The 22,241-nt window shown below is 35.0% G+C and overlaps 1 protein-coding gene and 1 pseudogene across 28 annotated transcripts in view, besides 1 other annotated feature; one reads left to right on the forward strand and one right to left on the reverse strand.

Moving 5' to 3' along the window:
• Nucleotides 1-22,241, forward strand: part of CCSER1 (coiled-coil serine rich protein 1) — a 1,477,902-nt gene that overhangs the window by 697,543 nt on the left and 758,118 nt on the right. The gene's annotated exons all lie outside the window — the stretch shown is intronic.
• Nucleotides 8,529-9,447: an enhancer, noted in NCBI's record as "OCT4-NANOG hESC enhancer chr4:91754616-91755534 (GRCh37/hg19 assembly coordinates)". NCBI's record gives its function as "activates a minimal SCP1, AML or CMV promoter by ChIP-STARR-seq in naive and primed H9 embryonic stem cells {active_cell/tissue: H9 hESC(naive and primed)}" and the evidence as "EXISTENCE:reporter gene assay evidence [ECO:0000049][PMID:30033119]".
• TMSB4XP8 (TMSB4X pseudogene 8) lies at nucleotides 13,560-14,176 on the reverse strand (annotated as a pseudogene).

Genomic DNA, 22,241 nt, shown 5'->3' on the forward strand with positions numbered 1-22,241 from the left:
TACTCTCCTAGTCAGCTCTGTAAGACAGATGTAGAGTGTGAATGTGACAGTATCCTATGATACATAATGGGGACTGCCTCCAGTTTCTTACACACTCCAGTACCCTGATGAAGAGCTGCCAAAAAGATACAATCTTTAATATTCAATGGAATTTGCTGTAGCAATAGTACATATTTGTTAAAGTCTTTATCACAAAGGGTTGTTATATTGCAGTACAGCATGGATATAAGAAAATAATTGCTCTATGATTTAAATGCCAATAGGAAGGTGTTTTACCTTTAAGGCATAAATTGAGTTAAAAATATTCCACCATATTGTGATCAAATTAGGCATGTAGTTGAAATTAATTTATACGTAAAGTTAAACAGTTGAATATTTTGGATATTTTAAATTTATTATATAAGCTATGTCATACAATTTACAAACTATCTTCTTTATTTTATACTTCTTTTGTTACACTAATCAAGATTCCAGTACTTAGAGTAATTTAACAAACGCAACAATTTAAGTAGTCAGTGGGACATAATGATAGCCAAAGACTTAGAAAAAAATATATAACGCATGTTCCTGAATTATCATGGAAATTAATAATATGCAGAAGGGGAAATATGTGTTTTTTTGTGTGTAACTGGGCCGTCAAAAACAAAATTACAGCAAATTTAGTTTAAAGATGTAATTGGCTTTTATTAACAATTTATGAATTTGTGGCATCTCATATAAAGATTTACAAAAGTTCCTCCTCTGGGCATGGCAAAACAATTGGTATTTTTTTGTTTGTTTTGTTTTTGTTGTTGCTTTTTTTTTTTTTTTTTGAGATGGAGTCTCGCTCTGTCACCAGACTGGAGTGTAGGGGTGCAATCTCGGATCACTGCAACCTCCACTTCCCAGGTTCAAGCGATTCTCCTGCCTCAGCCTCCTGAGTTTTCTGTATTTTTAGTAGAGACGGGGTTTCGCCATATTAGCTAAGATGGTCTCAATCTCCTGACCTCGTGATCCACCTGCCTCGTCCTCCCAAAGTGCTGGGATTACAGGCCTGAGTCACCGCACTCAGCACAACAATTGTTTTTTATAAGGTACTTTGAATAGGAACAAGGAAACAAGCTAATACAAAAAGTGGATTGTTTAACATCAGGTTACTTCATGTTACTTTCCTTGTAAGAGTTAAAGTGGAGGAAACTTCCTTATTATGCCCAATAAAAACTAGCTTGTTTGGGATTTGGCTATCACCTCTACATGATTTCTTGGAAGGCCAGAAAAATAAGTTACCTTGAGTTTGGTGACGTGGAATCTTAACATGAATGACTCCATTTTGGTTCAGTCTTTTGGACTCTAGTACAGAAGCTCAGTCCAAAACAATGGCCTCCTCCTTTATTTAACTGTATGTATATAAATAAACATGTAATGTTCTACTTCACAATAAAGTATGTTTAAAAATTTGAAAGTCAGTCTGAGCCGGGGACTTTGACTGGAGCAAGTGTTAACATGATGAAGGAGTAGAGTGGTATCTGTCCTCAAGGAAGCAAAGGGAGATAGGCTTACATAATTTTAATAACAACAGCCACTAGCTACTGAGCTCCTAACCTTTGACAGGTACTGTGAATGCTTTAGGTTTATTATTGCCTTTACTTTTTATAATACAATTGAGAAATAAGTATTATTACTCCCAGTTCATTCATAATAAACTAAATTCAGGGGGATTATGTGATTCGTTTAATTCTGCATAATACATGACAGTTAAGATTGAGAGGAAAATCTGTCTGACTCCACGCACATGTTATTTTCCCTGTTACATCAAACAGATTTATAAATTACAGAGAGATTACAAACATATTAGTGGTATAAAATAGGATAACACAGTTCACTTTTGCTACATATCAATACCGAAATAAAAATAATAGCTACTATTTATGGATTGGTTACCATTCATCTGGTAGTAGCAGTCAGACTTGGGTGGTCAGGGCAGAAACTCTTGTGATAGTGTTACTGGCAAAGCCGGTCCCCCAGAAGTGGGGGGTCTTTCCCCGTTCAGTGTTACAAAGCCATTATGTGAAACTGGAAATGAGCATCAAGCAGTTCAGACTTTATTTGATGGCCATGGAATTGAGAAGTGGGAGCACAGCTCACAAATCAACTTCTCAGCTCCTGAGAGCTGGAAAGTCACAGATAGAAGGCTACTTGAATTAAGGTGTTGAGCATTAAAAGCAAGGGGAGGAATATCCGTGCAGTTTCTGGGAATAGGCAGAGAAAATCTCAGAACCAGAGTGCTGCCTTCCTTTTATGGTTTCTTCTGGTCATTGTCATGATGATTAACTGTCATGGCACTGATGGGACTTTCATTTAGCATGGAAATTAGATTACAATAAAGTTAGAGTTTCTTCAGAGGTCAAGTGAGCTGCCATCTTGGATACCACTGGTTTCAACTGGTCTGATCAGGTTGGGAACTTCAGACCACAGACATCCTGTTCTTACAAATTAGGAGAGTCAAGGTGGGGTAGCAATTTAGCTATGCTATACAGGCATTACACTGGGTAATGATAACAAAACAGAAAAATTTATTTTAGAGGAATCACCTACAGCCACTTCTTCCAGCCTTGGAAGTGAGAATGGTGGGTTTCATCAAAAAGCACATAGGGCATCACAGACACATTTAATGTCATTTTAGTAATCATGTCCTATTTCATGGACACTCTTTATATTTGAGTTAAACACATTATTACTTGTAAAATCATGACAGCATTATCAGAGACATGAAAAGAGAACAATTTGAGCATCTTATCTAAAAGCTGTGTAGGGGAGGGAAGAATTTTCTTTTGCCCTCTGAGAGTTTAATAATTGAATCTGTTAAATAATCTGACAACGGGCAGATTAATAGGAGAATAGTTACACAAATTTATCATGTGCACCAGAACATTGCAGGAAAGACAACTGAATACCCTAAAACCAAGTGAGATTTATCATTCTTATATACCCTGGTTATAGAGCCGAGGGGGAAGGGGATGTAGGCAATTTATAGGAGAGTAAATGGTTTTGGAAAAAATGAATGGGCCCTCAGAAGAATACATGGTGGTTTGTGACAAAGTTGGTCTGTGTGTGGTGCCGACTTCTTGTCTTCCTCTCCTGTGATAAGAGTTAATCTTCCCTGGTTGATGCAGCCCTCAGGGAGAGGATTGGCAATAGCTGTATTACTTTCGGAGGAGCTGTCTTTAGCCAGATAAGGGGAGCTCTGAGAAAATGTCCACCTATATCCAACATACCTCAAGTGCTCTCAATTTGAAGTAATTAGCATACCAAAGTGGCATATTTTGAAGTTGCATTTTTTGAACTCTTTCAGCTGAGAAAGCAAATTTTTTAGTGACTTAAAATGTATCTTTATATTTTTATAACATGTGTGAATGCAATATCTACATACTTATCCATAAGTCTATTTATATCACTAAGAAATCTCCCATAGTCAGCCAAATACAGAGTGAGAGAATGGTCAAAAGTGAGGAGAAGCACTAAATCCAAACAGCATGATTTCATCATGTCTTCTGATTAAATATTTTACTCAGTGGATGAACAAAACAAGAATGAATGGGCTGGAGATTGTTTTTAAAAATTTAGTTTCGTATCACTTTACAACTCTTTGAGCTATTCTAGGACTATTATAGTTTCTGTAAGGAATAAAAAGGAGGATTTTACCAGTTGTAATCCCCACTAGAAGCTTGAGCTTAAGTGTTTTTCCTGTGTGTTCCCTTTTTACTGTCAAATGTGGCTTTATCATTACTTGTTTTTCCCTCTCATTGGTGGGCTCCTTAATGATAGGGTCTTTGTTCTCCTATAGCCTCAATATCTAACAAAGCAGGCAATTAGTAAATATTTGAAGGAATGAATAAAATTTATATCGTATTTTTTGCTCTTACATTTGTTAGGAGAACTTTTAGAGAATAAAGCAAGACAATGTCACATTATTAAATTATATAGATGAAAGATAGAAATGAAAGGGGAAAGAAAGACTGTGAGTTTAGGTATATAATTTCCTGGAGGAACCACTAGATGCCAAACAAGCATGTGGGGATGTCACCTAGGAAACTTAAATGCAAAATGGGTATCACCAGAAATAACAGCAAGAAAATAAGTGGAGGAAAACAGAGCTATGAAATGATCCAAAGACAAGTAGTCAAGAGAAATTATAGAAGTAAAAAGATAGGGTAAAGTTAAAATTGATTCTAATCTAAAATATTGTAGAAAACAAAGAAAAACTAAGGAAACAACGTTCAACAAAACCATGAAAACTTTTCAAAAATTTAGGAAGTGCTAAGATCATCTGCTTCTCTTCATTTCACCAGAAAAACATCTTAGTGAAATAATACAATTTGAAGCCTCTCTTAAAAAACTGATTTTTTAGATAGAATGGTTTATAATGTGAACAATTCATAATAGAAAATAGCTATGGGTAGGAAGTTAATGAGACTGGAGAAAAAAACAGCTACGCTAAAACATAAGTACAAATGAAAGAGTAAAAATAAATTTAAAATGCCAAACATGTTCATAACCTATATTGATGAAAGTATTGTTAGTGGTGGTAGAGATCCAAGTTACCATGAGTTAACAGCAGCCTGTCTGTATGGGTCCATAGTAACTTCAGTCCTTGCCGCCTCAGAAAGAATTTGACTGAGGGGCATAGAGCAGAAAAAGAGAGCGAGGCAAGTTTCAGAGCAGGAGTGGAAGTTTCTTTAAAAAGTCTTTAGAACATGAAAGAAAGGAAAATTTGCTTGGAAGGGACCCAAGTGCACACCTGAAGGTCTGCGAGAGAGTAGATGACAGCAAAAAAAGAGATCTTTAACCTTGATCCTAGAACTTTATAGGCTGGTCTGTTTCCCGTAATTCTTTCCTTAGGGTGGGCTTCCTGCATATGCAGTGCTTTCCTTACCTTTTGGAATTGAGCACATTCAGTGTGTTTAGGGAGTTATATGCATGCCTATCTGAGGCTTCCTTCCTTTTTCTAGTAGCATGTGTTCTTGAAACATCACACTTCGCCATTTTGACTGTTAACACTCATGCCCAAGAAGCTGCTTCTCCCTGAGGCCTACATTCAATTAACACTTCTAATGTTAGCCTGTGTGGACCATCAGGAGATTCTCTCCCTGACAGCCAAATTATCGTTTCTAGAGAGGCAATACGATAATTGCCAAACCATCACCGGACATTTCTAGTGAGTCGGGGAGAGACCTCTCCTGCTCCGCTCATGCTTAACTACAGCATAAAATGTTGAGAAGTATATGAAGCAAATAATTGTTCATACTATGTGTCAATATTATGCTATGCCATTTACTTGTGTATCTTACCTCACCCTTGGCCGTAATTTTTCTTTTATATTGAGGAAACCAAGGCTCAAAGATGTTAAATAAATTTCTCAAAGCTGCAGAATGTCATTTAAAGAATCTAAGCATATGCAAATTAAATTTTACTATGTTTGCTATGGAGAAGCAAAAAGTGCTTCAGTGTAAGGTTCCTTCACTCAAATTATTTCCCACTGTTAATAGCATACACAGACTTGTGGAGTATGACACTGAGAGGAACAAAGCAAATAGAGACCAGTCAATTTGATGGTTATGGGGATTTCTGAGCTATTTAAGTTCATGGAACTTTGTTGCTTTGGAATGAGAGATCCTTAAAATTCTTCTAATTGCCACAGACACAACTGCCCATTTTTCTGTTTTACTAAATTCACAATCCCTACTCTATTTTGCAGTTTTTGGTTTATTACACAGCCAGACAAGATGAACTTGAATCAGTAAAGTCCCCAAAGATTTGAGGCAGCCAAACACACCCTTCCTTTTTTCTCTATTGTATAACTTTTGTTAATTGTCCTTGGACTATGAACAAACAACTTTGGTAGTAACACTAAATTACTATTTAAAAAGTGACATATGTGTATTTTAATAATGAATGCTGAGGAGTGAATCATATCTAACACTAATATAACAGATATCCCATCCATATAAACTCCCTTCCCATTGTCCTTTTTCATGTTAATCTGTAATCATTTCACTCAGCCTGTATTCCACTTACTGTTCCCAACCATTCTGGGCATTATGTTGGTTTTACTGTCAGTCTCAATGTATTACAAACAGGGGAACTGAGGTTCAGCACAATTAATGAACTATCTCATTAGCTAACAAGCAGTAGGAAGGTATGCGCATACTAAGATATGCGTCAGTGTGGTTCTACACTACCTTTGCTGAAGACTGACTTCTTTATGTGTGATATGCGAAGAGATGCCATTATGGAGAAAGGAAGGTAGGGTTGAATACTGAAAAAGGTATTTGATTATTGATTTTTCTTTCTTAGTGGATTTGACTTTTACAGTGAAGAATAATAGGTACTGTATTCATTATTTTCTATCATTTTGCACACTGAGATATTGGATTGCATAGCCTATCTTGTTATAATCTGTCATTTAAGAAAACTGTATCATTATATAATTTCTATTGATGAGCATTTATATATTTTTTCCTCCTCTGAACTTTGCCACAAAAGGCATATTTGTTTTAGCAAACATTGATAACCTGCTAGGAAGATGAGAATATGCCTATTACACTGTTGAAGATTGGCTACATAACTTGAGTTATCTACAATATGTTGCAAAAGGCAGATACTTGGCAAGTTTAATGCCATCCATCTGATGTAATTGAACTTAAGGTTGGATGAATAGCACTTCATTTCATCCTTGAAACTTTACGAACATGACTGTTATTATCTCAACAACTAATGTTGCTTAAAGAATGTTCATTACTTGCATATCATTTTTTTTCCACAAAAGAATAACCTTGACTAAATATTAGGTAAAATTTAGTTTAGACTATATTTTTGAAAACTTTTTAAATGAAAGTTATCTAATAAGAGAAGAGGAAAAAATTATGTTACCTAATATTCCACTACCTCAATATAGCCTTTTTGATATATTCATATGTCTCTCCCTCCTCCAATTTTTATATAGCAGAAATGATAATGGCTATATGTTTTGTATCTTGCTTTCTAATAATTGTATATCACATATATCTTATATGTGTAATTACGTTCTTAAAATAAATGTTCAAAACTCTGATTAGTGGAGTAAAGGGCAAGACAGTCTTTTTACAAGCATCAGGTATTACTATGTGACTCTTTTTTTTTCCTAGTTCAGTGTTATAAGTAACAATTTACTAGTAATGTTATCTTTTATCATTTGTCTATTAAAACAAGCATATATTAAATGGATTGCCTTCTTGAAATAAAATAAAAATTTAATAGATTTATTTTTCAAGTTTTCTTTCCATAGTAGAAATGTCTGCAAATGAAGAGAAAATTCTTCATTTCAGTTGTATATATTCAACTACAGCTATAGGTGTAGATACAGATAGAACATGTGATGATAGAAGCAAATATCTGAAAATATTTTTCTGAGCTGCAGTGAATGAGCAAGCTACATAAATAATGAAGCTTTTGTTTTCTAGTGTGTGAAAAAGTGTCTACTTCTTAAAAAACTAAAGAACTTAAGCATCTTCATCGCTTTGAGTTGACTTTTTTTAATGTTTGATGATCCCTCTTTTGTGATGTATACTGAACTAAGGTTACCAATGTGCACCATCTTTGAGATCCATAAAAAAATAAAATAGTGTTTTTTGGAAACATTTTTTATCAGTCATTAAGCAAATGATCATTATTTCTTTTGTCAGTTTAAAATCTGCAGAAATTTTCCATATTCTTATTTTAATTAGAAATGTTTGACAATTAAAAATCCACACCAAAGGATGCTGACAAGGCCAGTCTTTGTCAACACTTTATAGATTTGTCCTTCTAGAACCAAATGGTGTGTACTTCTTAAAGAGAATATTATGGAACAATAAAATTGCAACATTATTTATAGTGTTCTTCCATAGAAAAATTACTAAGCTTACTTTTGTAAAGAATATATTTTCTATGTATAAATGGGAAGAACCAAATCTACTGATAATCAATATATGTTATCCTATTTATAGTCATCTGTGAGAGAGCAGGAAGATATTAAGCAATTGGTGTTACTTTAAAGACAATGGTCTTTCGTTATTCACAGCTTTTCAAATAACCTAATGGGCTTATCCTAATTTTCTGTGCGGCCATAACGAAAGACTTGAGACTGGGTAATTTATAAATAATAGAAATTTAATTCTCACAGTTTTGGAAGCTGGGAAGTCCAAGATCAAGGAACTGGCAGGTTCAGTGTTTGGTGAGGGCTTTTACCCTGCTTCCAAGATGACACCTTGTTGCTGCGCTGTGTCCTCAAATGGAAGAAAGGACGAAGAGGGGCCTAACTCATTTTCTCCAGCCCTTTTATAAGTGACTAGTCTTGTCCATGATGGCAGATCCTTCATGGCCTGATCACATCCTAAATGCCTCACCTCTTAATAGAGTTGCATTGAAGATTAAGTTTCAACATAAATTTTGGAGGAGACACAGACATTCAAACCATAGCAGGGCTACTTCCCTTTCTCTAATAGGACAGTGCCAAATAGCCTCTGAAGTTATGGAGCCTACAGATGGCCATCTTATTATGCCTATTCCTTGTGTGTTTCTTTTTTTGGCAATAATAAAAGACTTAATGATGAGCTATTTGTGCATACCTATAAATACATTTCGTTTGTTCACTACCAGCCAGTCTCCTAAGAACCAGTGTATAAAATGGTTCATGACCCACTAGCACTCAAATATTTAATGAATAAATTAATGCATTATTCTTAGTAGACAAAATACATTTGTAATCTCTCAATTAAACAAACAAACCCTTTTCCTGTGGCTTGAATGTGTCCCTCAAAAGTTGGTTGTGTTGAAAACTTAATCCCCAATGCAACTTTGTTGGGAGCTGAGGCCTACCCTCCTCCCAACAGCTGGTCTTCACCCTCAAGAATGGATTAATGTCATTACTGGGAATGGGTTATTCAATTGGAGAGTGGGTTATTATAAAGCTAATTCAGCCCCTGGTGCCTCTCTTTGTCTACTCTGTTTGCTTCTGCTTTCTGGCCTTCCACCATGGGGTGATGCATACCAGATGCCAGTGCCATACTCTGGGACTTTTCAGTCTCCAAGACCGTGAGCTACATAAACTTCCTTATGAATTACCCAGTCTGCAGTATTCTCTTATAGCAACAGAAAATGGACTAAGAGAAGTTTGATGTGTGCAACTTTAAATGAATTTTTGTGTATTTTTACAGTTTAAAGGCAGTCCTCTGTAAGATTCCAGCAATCAGCCCTCATGGAAGCCTCAAGCCTATTTTCCTTCCTAGTACTCACAAGGTGATTTTTAATAATCAGGATAAAATCCAAAGTGAATAATTTATTTCTTGCTAAAAAAACTTTTTAAAAGTTATTAGGATTCCACACATCATTCTCAAAGGGTAAATCAAATATTAGCCCCTCAGTAAGTTGAATAAAGAATTGATAATGAACACCACATTGATGCTAGATGCTACTTGATTTAATAGTTTCAATACAATCTCCCTCTTCCTGTTGAAATTCCTTAGCTATTTACAGTGCAGAGAGAAAAAAATAATAATTCTATTCTAAGAGTAGTAGTGAACAGTTTTCAGGTGTTTATCACTGATACAAATTAAGAACTGTGTCTATATTTTGTATAATTGCATCATACAGCTGTATTAAATCTTATAGTATCAAATATTAGATCTGATTTAATAGTATTAATAAATTTAAACCCATTTTAATCAATTTTCAAAAAAATACCGTGTTCAGTTACAGAAAATGGTGCTTAGTTGCAGACTGTATCGTACCTTTTAACACCTGATGTGTACATCCCATGTAACGGAAAGGGCGACAATAAAATGGGGATTCAAAGGAAATAATATGGCAGAATAAGATGTGTAAGCACGATCTTATTTTCTTTTCTCGTACAGAATACTTACAGTTATTGAGCCTTCCAGAAATTGGAAGTTACCTGAAGCCACTCAAGTTTCCTTAAAAAACAAAACAAAACTGTCTATAGTTAACTTGATATGCCACTTTTCAAATGTTTCTAATATTTATTTTATTTTATTTTAAAGTATGTTTTTCATCTGCATCTACCAACATTTATTCTTGGGCTTTTAATTTTACCTTTTTCTCGCTGGCCTGGTGGCTCACGCCTTAATCCCAGCACTTTGGGAGGCCGAGGCGGATGGATCACGAGGTCAGCAGATTAAGACCACCCTGGCTAACACGGTGAAACGCCGTCTCTACTAAAAATACAAAAAATTAGCCGGGCGTGGTGGTGGACGCCTGTAGTCCCAGCTACTCAGGAGGCTGAGGCAGGAGAATGGCGTGAACCCGGGAGGGGGAGCTTGCAGTGAGCCGAGATGACGCCACTGCACTCTAGCCCGGGCGACAGAGCCAAACTCCGTCTCAAAATTAAAATAAAATGAAATAAAATAAAATAAAATAATTTTACCTTTTTCCAAACTAATGTAATTGCTTACAGCTCATATTTGAGCTTCTAAATGCAATGCTATTGGACGTATTTGCCACTTCATATTTAAGGCCTCTTTTACTGTGTACGGTATTTATTACCGTGGAGCCATGAGACCAAACTGCAAGGCTCTAATCTCAGTTCAGCTATATGTTTAGAATCACTGTGTGCTGTTCATACATGGGATTTGCCCCCTGAGCATATTTTATTTAAATCTGGTTGCAAGACATTTTTTTTTTCTTTCTTCATACATCATCGATAACATCTAATGCTTTGTTCAATAGCACCTGGAATTTTCATCCAAGATGACAGCTTAGGGAAATTGAATTTTCCCAGAGAGGTATCTCCAACTAGAATATAGTTTTAATTTTGCCAAGCTGAAATAAATCATACCAGATTGTTTTATTCTATGCAAGACATCTGGGAGACTTTTGCTGCAGTCTACAGAATCTCATGCCATTGTGAAATGTTTGCCTTATGGACAACACAAGGTCTGGGGCATAATACTGCGTGTTTGCTCATTTCCAGTGACTCTATTTAATTAAGTCTAGAATACAAGCATAGAGACTCTGCTTTGTGAATCTGATGCTCTTGTATATGACTTAAGTTTATGTCAGGATTTAGGGAAAACATTCTCATTTTGGTAGCATTCCCAACATTTTGAGATAGTTTGACTTCTGTTCAGACCTAGCATGAGATTTTTGATATATGTGCAAATTGTGTGACACTGTTGGATAAAAAATTCTTAGGTACAAATAAAGTTGACAGGTAGGACTTCTGTCCATCCACATCCATGCCCCACATTCCCTGATCTTTTTAATAATAACGACAAAAACATGATCAGTGTGCACTCAGAACAGACATTTAGATCAAACTAACCTTTGGGTCTGGCATCCTAATGAATGTATTAGTCAAATGTCACAAACTGCACAAAAGCTTTTGTATTAGAAAAACAAAAAAAAAACAAGCTTAGAATGGATGAGCAGATGCATATTCTTCTGAGCTTCTTTGACTCACAAGCTTTGCTTTGAGAGTCACCTTTCCCCCCACTGCCCTCTCTGACTCACTCTTGGAGTTTCTGGTACATAATTAAGACATATGGACAAATTCCCAAATTCTAGGGCTAAGAATACCAGCAAAGGTGAATTTACTATGAAAATAAATGAAGTTTAAGTTCATGAAGCTTCACCTATACCCATCCCTTCCAAGACTTGATTTTCTTCTAGGAAGTTGTGGTATGAAGCAGCAGCCACAGCCACACACTAGAGTGTGTGGGCCACAGAAGTCCTGATTTGAACCCTGGACTGGGTGGAGTCTTGGAAGCCCACACTACCTTCATGTCCCTCAGAACCTCAGAGGTAACATTCCTCTGGTGGACTTCATCAAGTGTTCATCCCCTAACTTTGACTCCAAGGAGAATGATCTAAATCAGATGTTGCTCTGTTCCCTGGTCTAGACCATCGCAACAAAACTGCTTGGCCACTTGGCCGCTGTTTTTCTCAAGAAACAAGTAACTTCACTGAGCAAAAATGTACCAGTGTGGCATTTGCAATGATCAGTTGAAGCTGAAAATAACTTTATCTACCACTAATAATAAAAATAAAATTTAATCAACCAAATCATAGGCCACACTGAATCATCTTTCTACTATCTTTATAAAAAATATTGTAAAAATTGCTGTCATATTAAGAAGCAATCAAAGCATATGAAGCCAAAAATAAGGAAAAACAGTATTATAGATGACTCACATTCAGTTAACCATAAAAATGAAATAATATGTTTTTCTAATTATAATTTTTATTTCTGGAATTTGTCACTTTTAAATAATCTGTGATTATTTTTCTTCTAAGTATATATCTTTTTAACAAAGTTAACAAAAAACAAAATATATGGGCACTAAGAGGCACTCTAGAGAAAGACTGAAATTTTTTTTGAGTATTTGAATTACCCATAATTACAAATTTTAGCTTCTCACTATTCACAATACATTTTATGTCCCTTTGTTTTGCTTAGTTAGATAGGATGGAAATCTTGGCTTTCTGTCATTTCCTGTGCAGCCCTCTGCAAATTCTTTTCCCAACCTATTTCTTTATCTGTAAAATGGAGATTATAATACCTATTTCATCATATTACTATGTTAAACAAAATGTTTTTGAAGTACTTAGTACGATGACTGAATACAAACAAATAATAAATAGTAGGAAAGTCTATGTTGATTATACTATGTAAAATAAGTATAAAAAAATCATGAGACAGCAGTGTAATATTCTAAGACATTGGAAGAGTTTAAAAGAACAGTTTTGGAAAACTGACTTCATACTTGTATGTACTAAAATTGAGATGCCCATGGGACATCTTAGTTGAGATAGCTGTTAGATATTTGGATTGCAGGTCTGGAACTTAGCAGAGAATTACAGTTATAAATTTTTAATTATTAATGTATCAGAAGTAGTTGTAACCATGAGTAAGGATGATATTATATGGGACAGTGTTTAAGGCAACCATAAGATAGATTTGAGGATAAATCCCAGTAATGATATTTGGTGCTTAGTTTTTTTAGAATTATCAAGGAATATAGAAATTGCATATTAAAATGCCCTGCATAATTTCTAGCACATAGTAGCTATTCTGTACACTTTATTGTTTATTTTGATTAATTTAAGCAATTCAGTATAAAAAAGAAAAAAAACCCAATCTTTTTAGTCTATCAAAATTTAAAGGAAGACTTCTAAACATTAACATAGTAATTTTGTATATCCCATATAAATCTATATAAGAAAATAAATCCTATAAACTAAGATACTTTTAAAATATAAGAATATGAGTACTTTTTTTTTAGTGAATGTGATCTTTATGGAATTTTTTTATTATTAGAATGGAAGTGACCCTGGAAGCTTTCTTATTGTATTTATTTAAAACATTTCAGTTGTACAATTTAATTCAGTTGTCTAATAATTAAAATAAATTGTGTAAATATGTAAATTGAATGAACTGTTTTCTACTGTTATGTACATATTTGAATTCAATTTATATGATCTGCTTGATCATTTTTAATAATTTAATATGTATTTAAATATAAATATTTCATAATATTTTTTTTAAGTTTTTAAACTTTTTATTTGCATATTAAAAAAATTGTGCATTCCAATAATTAAAATCATTTGAACAAAAAAAAAATGGCACTCTGATTAAACTGCATTACAGCCTGCAGGACACCTTGGGCCAGCTTGGTTTTACTCTAGATTTCACTGTTGTCCCACCCCACTTCTTCCACCCCACTTCTTCCTTCACCAACATGCAAGTTCTTTCCTTCCCTGCCAGCCAGACAGACAGATGGGAAAGGCAGGCGCGGCCTTCGTTGTCAGTAGTTCTTTGATGTGAAAGGGGCAGCACAGTCATTTAAACTTGATCCAACCTCTTTGCATCTTACAAAGTTAAACAGCTAAAAGAAGTAAAATAAGAAGGCAATGCTTGTGGAATGTACAGTGCATATTGGCGGCGCACGCCTCATTACGATTCGCCTGCTTGCTTCTCCTGTTCAATCGTTTCTTTGGAAGGCAGTGGATTTTTCTCTTGCGTCTCTGTCTTCTTCAGTTTCGGCTTATCGAATTTCTCGATCTCAGCCATATCGGGTTTGTCAGACATGGTTGCGGAGGAAAAGCGGAGCGAGGCGCGCGAGTACGAGCGAAGTCTGGTCTGCGCAGTGGCCACCACCGAGTTGTCGCCATAATATTTTTAATAATGTTTGCATTTCTTCTATATTGCTAACTTCTTTGAGAAATATTATTATGATCTTTGTCTAAGAAGCCTATTATCTAGATTGAGAATCTAAACAAATACAAAGGTAAGCAATTAGTATCATCTAATAAATGTCTCAGTTAATTCTATCACACACTTAGATAAGTTTATCAAACGTGTAAGAACATAATTTAATTAAGCAGAGCATGTTTCAGTAAACAAATGTGAGTGAGCTTTTTATAAAGTTTCAGATTCAACTACAGGTTATGAAACAAGTGAAAACTAAATATGGGATAGGGCATGGAACTGTGCCTTCACCATGTGTTACATCTATAGAGCATATGCCAACTGAACTTGCTACAGCTTCATTGTTGCATCGTACCCATCAAGACCCAACAGTGGAACTACAAAGACAGGTGACTTGTTTCTAGAAAGCAGGTCCTAAGCCCTGCTTTAAGTGTGTTTATCTGGAGGGAGGAGCAAGAAGAGAAAGCCCACATCTACAGATCAAATTACCCTAAAAGAGAGACTATTGGAAAGGCTGAGCTTTCATATTTCATCCTTTTGCCCAATCTTACCAAGTAGTTAAGGCACTTCTGTTGTTGAAGTAAAGGTGCAGAAGATAGAACAAAGTCTAAAAATTCTTCTCCCATTCTTCTAAAAGGGTAGAAGTTCATACTTTAAAATTTAAGATGGGGACACTAGAAGAGAAAGAAAATGGTTCCCCCAAAGGGAAGTATAAAGGATTGATACATGAATTGTATATTTATTCTCTCATCTTTTAGTCATTAGTCAATATTCTGGTCTCTAAGTTAGTAGATGGGATTGAAGTTATTGTAATAAATTAATATAATAATGTGACTGTGTAATTATATAAATATAATCAAGTAAATATAATACAATATATGTTATATAATCCATATAACATAGCATTTATTTTATAGCATTCTTTTGATATCTGCTGCTTTAGTAACTTGCAATTTATTGTTTTATTACATCTGCTATTAAAATGAACATCAACTATTTATTTTCATAAATAAGAGAATCCTTTATTTTAGTAGAGAGAAAAATTTTAAATAGTTCTACCAATATCTAATATTAAATGTGTGTGGGTGGAGAAGAATGAGGAGAAAGGTTGTATCTTAATTCAGAATTAGAAAGGCGACAAAATAACCATTTTCTATTACAAAAGACGTTAACTCTATGACATTAATTTCACCATGGGAAATCTGTAATCTTCATTTTAGAGAAATTAATTGGTAGCAGTACTATTTATGAAGTGCTGTGTGCTCAAATCCTTGAAGAACTTTCCTACATTATGATTAGCCTAAGATGTCTAGCCTGGAGTGTTTCACATTTTTCTAGCTTTGTGATTACATCCTCCCACTAGGTATCTAATGAACTGAAGTAGACCGCCCTGCATTTCAGCAAATTCAGGAGTAAGGTTTTATGAGTATTAAAAAATAATTGAAAATGTCAATATTCAAAATGTTTCATAGTTCATATATTTTATGTCCTCACTACAGTGCCTATGCATATAGCTTAAAGCATATCAACAGAGGGAAAACACTATATTGCAGCAAGAAGCACCCTCATCCATGAAAGCTGTAAAGCTCCTTACTCTTTTTTTTTTTAATAGTTATAACCTTGTATGCAAGTCACTGTGAATTTTGCTGGCAATTGTGGCATTTCTCATCAGAGAGTAAATTCTTCTTCAGGCTGGTAAAATGACATCTGAATAAGAAGGCAGAAAAAAATTTTCAACCTCTTAAAACAACTTCTAAAAATTGCAAGTAGACAGTATCATGTATTGCATAATAGTTACATAAAGCAGATTACCTAAGATTCCCTACAGCTCTAAAACACCATGCCCTGACATGTCCTGATTGAGATTTTTGAGATTTTTACCTGTATTCTAGAGATACTGAGTCAGCAGCTAGAGTAAGTTGTCACTAAATGATGCTTTTCCTGCACTTTGGCAGATAAGATCAGTATCTGAAAACCTCAGCCAATGTAGAAGCTTGAGAATGGCATGTCTTCTGAAAAACAAAGTTTATTAAAATATTAGTTTGTGACTTAGATAACTCATTCTTAAGAAAGCAGGAATGTGGCAGCAAGGGTAGAAACAAACATAGAAGACAATGCTTAATAAAGAAGAAAATATTTGGCCAGGCACAGTGGCTCACGCCTGTCATCCCAGCACTTTGGGAGGCCGAGGCGGGTAGATCACGAGGTGAGGAGATCGAGACCCTCCTGGCTAACACAATGAAACCCCGTCTCTACTAAAAATACAAAAAATTAGCCGGGCGTGGTGGCAGATGCCTGTAGTCCCAGCTACTCGGGAGGCTGAGGCAGGAGAATGGCTTGAACCCTGGAGGCAGAGCTTGCAGTGAGCCGAGATCGCTCCACTGTATTCCAGCCTGGGCGACAGACCGAGACTCTGTCTCAAAAAAAAAAAAAAAAAAAAAGAAGAAGAAGAAAATATTTTGCATGTTTTCCCTGACATAGTCTGGGTCAGGAAACATTTTCTATTAGAACTGTTTATTAGGGCAGTTTTCTTCTTTACCTGTGCTTCTCTCTATTCTGTAGACTTTCAAAAGCTAGGTTGAATCTTTTCACATTATAAATCAAGGTGAAGCTGTATTATTCCTCTTCTGAGTGTTGTCTTGGTACTCTGGAAGTGTGTCTGACTCTCATTCATTATTTCTAACAATAAGCCAAACTCCAAAGTAAAAAACTGTGGTTTCTCTTCTCAGTTAATTCTTATAAGTTGCCCAATGAATGAGAATTTGGGCATGACTCACAAATAGGAACTTATTGTGTTTAATCTACATTCTGCTGTCTGTCTTTTCATATTTCCCTTTTCCTGCATATTGACGTATTTACTGATTTCTCTGTTTTTTTTTTCCCATTAAAAAACACAGCTTGGCATTAGTTTATGCTCAGTAAATGTTAATTACTCCACCTCATTAGCCTTGACTGGACTAATTTGTTAGTCAACATAGCTTATTCTCACTAGTTTCTTATTCAAAACATCTTTAAACAAAGCAAAATTATTTTGAAAGCAAAAACATATATTTTCTTCTGTCTTTTAAAATGACAATTGTTTATTACATTAATAATCTCATTAAAATTCTTGTTATTTTTTCTTTGTCAAGAACAAGTTAGACAGAAAGTGGTTTTTGTATGCTCAAATTTTAATTTCTTGATTGGGTGAGTTCTATGGCTATCTGTTGCTGTTGAAATTTGATAGAACTTCTCAGGGAGAGAGTAAATAGGAAAGTAGTGGGAATGTAGATGCAAAAATGGGTACAGAAATGATTAGTCCAGGGATGAAGCAACATCTGGATTATACAGGAAACTGGTCTAATTTAGTCAGCACTGGAGTCAGAAAGGGAAGGAGGAGGAAATTTGGGAATGTTCAATAGGGCATGGGTTTGGATGTGCAGAAAAGAGACTGTAGTAATTGACCTGACATGTCTGATCATTGAAGAGAACCATCAGAAAATGAAGCAGGAAATAGTAAGAAATGGGCTTAATGTTAGGAAAAATAGCTCCTTCAGGAAAGAGATGTATAAGAAGGATGCAGTTCACTGGTAAGGTATAGGCAGGGATTCTCAGGGAACTAATGCAAAGGGAGTGGGTCATTCAAAGAACCCTCATGGTTAGAGTAACCGTATTCTGGTTTGTCCAAGACAATGCCAGTTCACAAAGTCATTCTTGCATTATTAATGGTTCCCTTTCTCCCAAAAATTTACAGTTTTTATCATGTTTGTAGTCAATACTCAAAAAACATGTGTGAGGAGGCTTTTGCTTGTTAGAACTATGAAATTGCTTTTAGGTTGGCAGAGCACATGAAAGCCATTTCTAGACTTAGTTTGAAGGGGATGACATCTCTTGAAAAGAGTCAGCACAGGTTAATAAATAACCCTTAAGAGCTGCACTGGATGGTTTAAGGCCCAACTTTTCACCACGGATTATTTGCATGACCTTGGGTAAGTTACAAGTTACATAACCTCTCATTTCTTCAGTTTTCTCATCTGCAGTGCAAAGGTAATAATAGTATCTACTTCATGTAATGTGGTAAGGCTTAAATGAGTCAGTGAAAAAAAAAAGTGTGTGTAACATTGTGGCTATTTACTGCTAAACTGGTTCCATTCTGCATCCAGTAAATGTAATTCCTACGGATTTTCAGGTGGCTCTTTGATCTGCTGCATTAAAATGTGGTTACAGGAGAAACTGGTAATAAACTAAGAGTTAGGCCTCAAATAGTTTAAAGCACTTTTCAAATGCAAAATATTCTTAACCTGCATTAATTTATGAGTTGGGTATCATTTTGCTCTTAATGCTTTAGAAAATGATTTAAAATTTTTAAGATTTGACTCATTCTTCAGATTAATTTTTTTCCTATCTCAACATCCAAGTATTTTCTAGAGGATTATATTTTTGGTGTATTGTGGAACTTTTCTGATTTTACAACACACAACATAAACAGAATCATTCTCTCATACCTATTCGTCCCTTCCTTCAACTTTTGCTGGATTTTCCGTATGCCTTGTTATTGTATATCTGGTCAAGCCATTTGGTACAAAACATTTTTTAAAAACAAATCTTTTTTATTTCTTGGTCATGTTAATCTATTCCAAGAGAGTGCTAGTTATATTCCCTCCTTGGGCATAAAATCTATGTGTTGTTGTCAGTTTCTTTGTTCTGTAATTATTACTGCACTCCTTTAAGAAAATTTAACTATCTGATGAGCCTAATAACATTACTTAGTCACTAGAAGCTTAAAGGTAACAATATAAAATGTATATTTTTTATATTTTCAGTACTCTTGAGACTCAGCCAATCTTTCAAGATTTTGTGTATTTGTCAAGCACTCTATGACCTCGTATATTATTACACACTATACATTCTCCAATATATTATTATAAATTGTACCACCATTCAAATCTCCTTCCTCTGTTTGTGTGTGTGTGTGTATGTATATATATATATCTTCCAGTGTGTGTGTGTGTTGTGTATATATAGATAGATAGATAGAGAATATATACATAGATATAGATTGAGAATATATATATATATGTATAGAGAGAGAGAGAAAGAGAGGAAGACAGATATGTAGCAACTGGGTATTACTAAACTTCAGAGTTCTTAAATTATACTTGCTTTACTGTGCATGTTAAAAAATAATATCTAAGCCTAAGGCATTGATTCACATTTTTACAGCAATTACTGGCAGTAGCAAATACTATTACCACTAAAGAATGAAGACATTCCTCATAAAGACTACTTTCCCCTCCCTCATTCCACTCCAGCCACATTGGCCTTCTTATTGTTCCTTGAACACACAGAGCATGCTTCTTCCTTAGGGTATTTTGCCTTAGCTCATTTCTTAGACTAGAACATTCTTCCCCCAATTAATTTTACATATGGTTACTAACCCCCTTCCTTCAAAAATTTGCTCAAATGTTACCTTCCTCAACTTCACTACTCTACACTATTTAAAGTTGCAACCTGTCCCCCACACCACTTGTTTCATTCCTATTATCCTGCTTTTTTTTTCTCTGCATAGCATTTTCATACCTTCTAATACATGATACTATCTAATTATTTATATGCCTATGGTTAATATCTGTCCACCCCAGCCAATATGTAAGTGACAGAAGACAGAGGTTTGCATTGCTCAACAACATATTTGTAGTTGCTAGACAAGGGGTTAGCAAAGAGCCAGACAGTAAGTATTTTAGGATTTATAAGCCATATAGTCTCTGTCTCAATTAAACTTTGGCATTGTGGCCTGAAAGCTGGTATAGACAATATGTAAATGAATTGGTGTGGAGCTATTTCAATAAAACATTATTTATGAAAACTAACTATAAGCTGGATTTGACTTGTGGACTTTTGAGACAATATCTGGCACATAGAAGCTCTTAAAGAATATTTGTTAGGCCGGGTGTGGTGGCTCACTCCTGTAACCCCAACACTCTGGGGGGCCGAGGCAGGCAGATCATGAGGTCAGGAGATCGAGACCATCGTGGCCAACAAGGTGAAACCCCGTCTCTACTAAAAATACAAAAAATTAGCCTGGCGTGGTGACACGCGCCTGTAATCCCAGCTACTAGGGCGGCTAAGACAGAAAAATCGCTAGAACCTGGGAGGCAGAGGTTGCAGTGAACCTAGATGGTGCCACTGTACTCCAGCCTGGTGACAGAGTGAGACGCCATCTAAAAAAAAAAAAAAAAAAAAAGAATATTTGTTGAGTGAATGAAATAGATTTATTGAAACCTGGCATATTTAGGATGTGAGCATAAATTACTAATAAATTTGCCCTTTCTCCCAATCCAAAATTGACAATCATTTTTTTCATTTAAAATATTGACACTGGCCTTACTGCCCATCATAATCAAAAGAGTTCCCTGTCCTGTTAAAACTATAGTGCCTGCTTGCATATGACAGAGGAACTGTGGTAGAGTAGTTATCAGAATCAGAACTAGGAGTGAAAGGCTGTCCTAGGCCAGAAGGCAACAAAACCTTGAATTCAGGATTCATATTAAATATATTTGTTAGTTAGTGCTTTTTTTTAAATTTAATTCCTGAACAACAAAAGTATATTTTCAGTATGTGAACATATCATGATTTATACAGCCTATAATGTTTTTCTTATTTCAACTGTGAAAAAAAAAAAAACCAGATTTTCTTATTTCTTGAGTTAATTGTAAACTTGAAGTGATGGCAATGGACTTGTAACTTATTTTCTCATTCTGCAGTACATTTCCAAGCCACTATACAAATGCTGAGTCATTAGTGTCATAGTGCTGTGTCTATTTATAGATTTTTTTTATGAGTGTTATTAACCATAAATGCTCAATATGAAAAAAATGAAGGAAAGTAGCTTTGTCTAATCACAGTAGAACACTGGATTTATTCTATAACAAACTGAAGGGTGACTTAATCACCTCAAATTAAAACTTGTTCTTTATCTCACATATAAATTGAAATTCATTGCATTCTTATGTTTCCAATAAATGGCAGATTTCTCCATTGCCCAGTAACTTTAAGGTGATTGTTTGCTCACTATAAATAGAGATATGTGTGTTTATGTATAGAAATCCTTCAGCGTGAGAGTTAAATTACTCCATCTTAAAGAAAGAAATGCATTAATGTACAACCATGGAAGGTGTGATAAGTTTAGGTATATCATCCATCCTCACAGAATCTGTTTGCAGTTATTGGAATAAAATTATTTTCTTTATAGAGATCTATTTAATATTGTTATAGACACCTGCCCATCATAATGATTAAATTTTTATTGATAAAAACAATTATAAATATGTATAGGTACATGTGATATTTTGATACATGCAGATAATGTTTAATGATCAAATCAAGGCATTTTGGATATTCATTGCCTCAAACATTTATTATTACTTTGTGTTGAGAATATTCTAAATCTTTTCTTCTACTTATTTTGAAATATACAATAAATTACTGATAACTGTAGTCACTCTTCTGTGCTATTGAACACCAGAATTTATTCCTTCTAACTAACTGTATTTTTGTACCCATTAACCAACCCGTCTTCATCTCTCCTGCCATTCTTCCCAGCCTCTTGATAATCATCATTCTCCTGCCTCAGCCTCCCGAGTAGCTGGGATTACAGGCACGCCAGCACACCCAGCTAATTTTTGTATTTTTAGTAGAGATGGGATTTCACCATGTTGGCCAGGATGGTCTTGATCTCTTGACCTGGTGATACACCTGCCTTGGCCTCCCAAAGTGCTGGGATTACAGGTGTGAGCCACTGCACCCAGCCTATTTTGTGAAATATTATGTTTATTATGTGTTAGTCTTAATTTGATTTAATTCTTTACAATGGGGTGTCTTCGTTCCCTCTGAAACTGTTCCCCCATTTGTAGCATACTTTTACATTCAAGTAAATTATTTACCAATATGTTCTTAGCTGATATTACAAAGGCTTTATTCATTCATTCGTTTAATTATTAATGTATTAACCAACACTTACTGAATGTTTATCTTATGTCAC

The sequence above is a fragment of the Homo sapiens genome, chromosome 4 (assembly GCF_000001405.40).
Source record: "Homo sapiens chromosome 4, GRCh38.p14 Primary Assembly".
In the NCBI taxonomy this organism is placed as follows: Eukaryota; Metazoa; Chordata; class Mammalia; order Primates; family Hominidae; genus Homo; species Homo sapiens.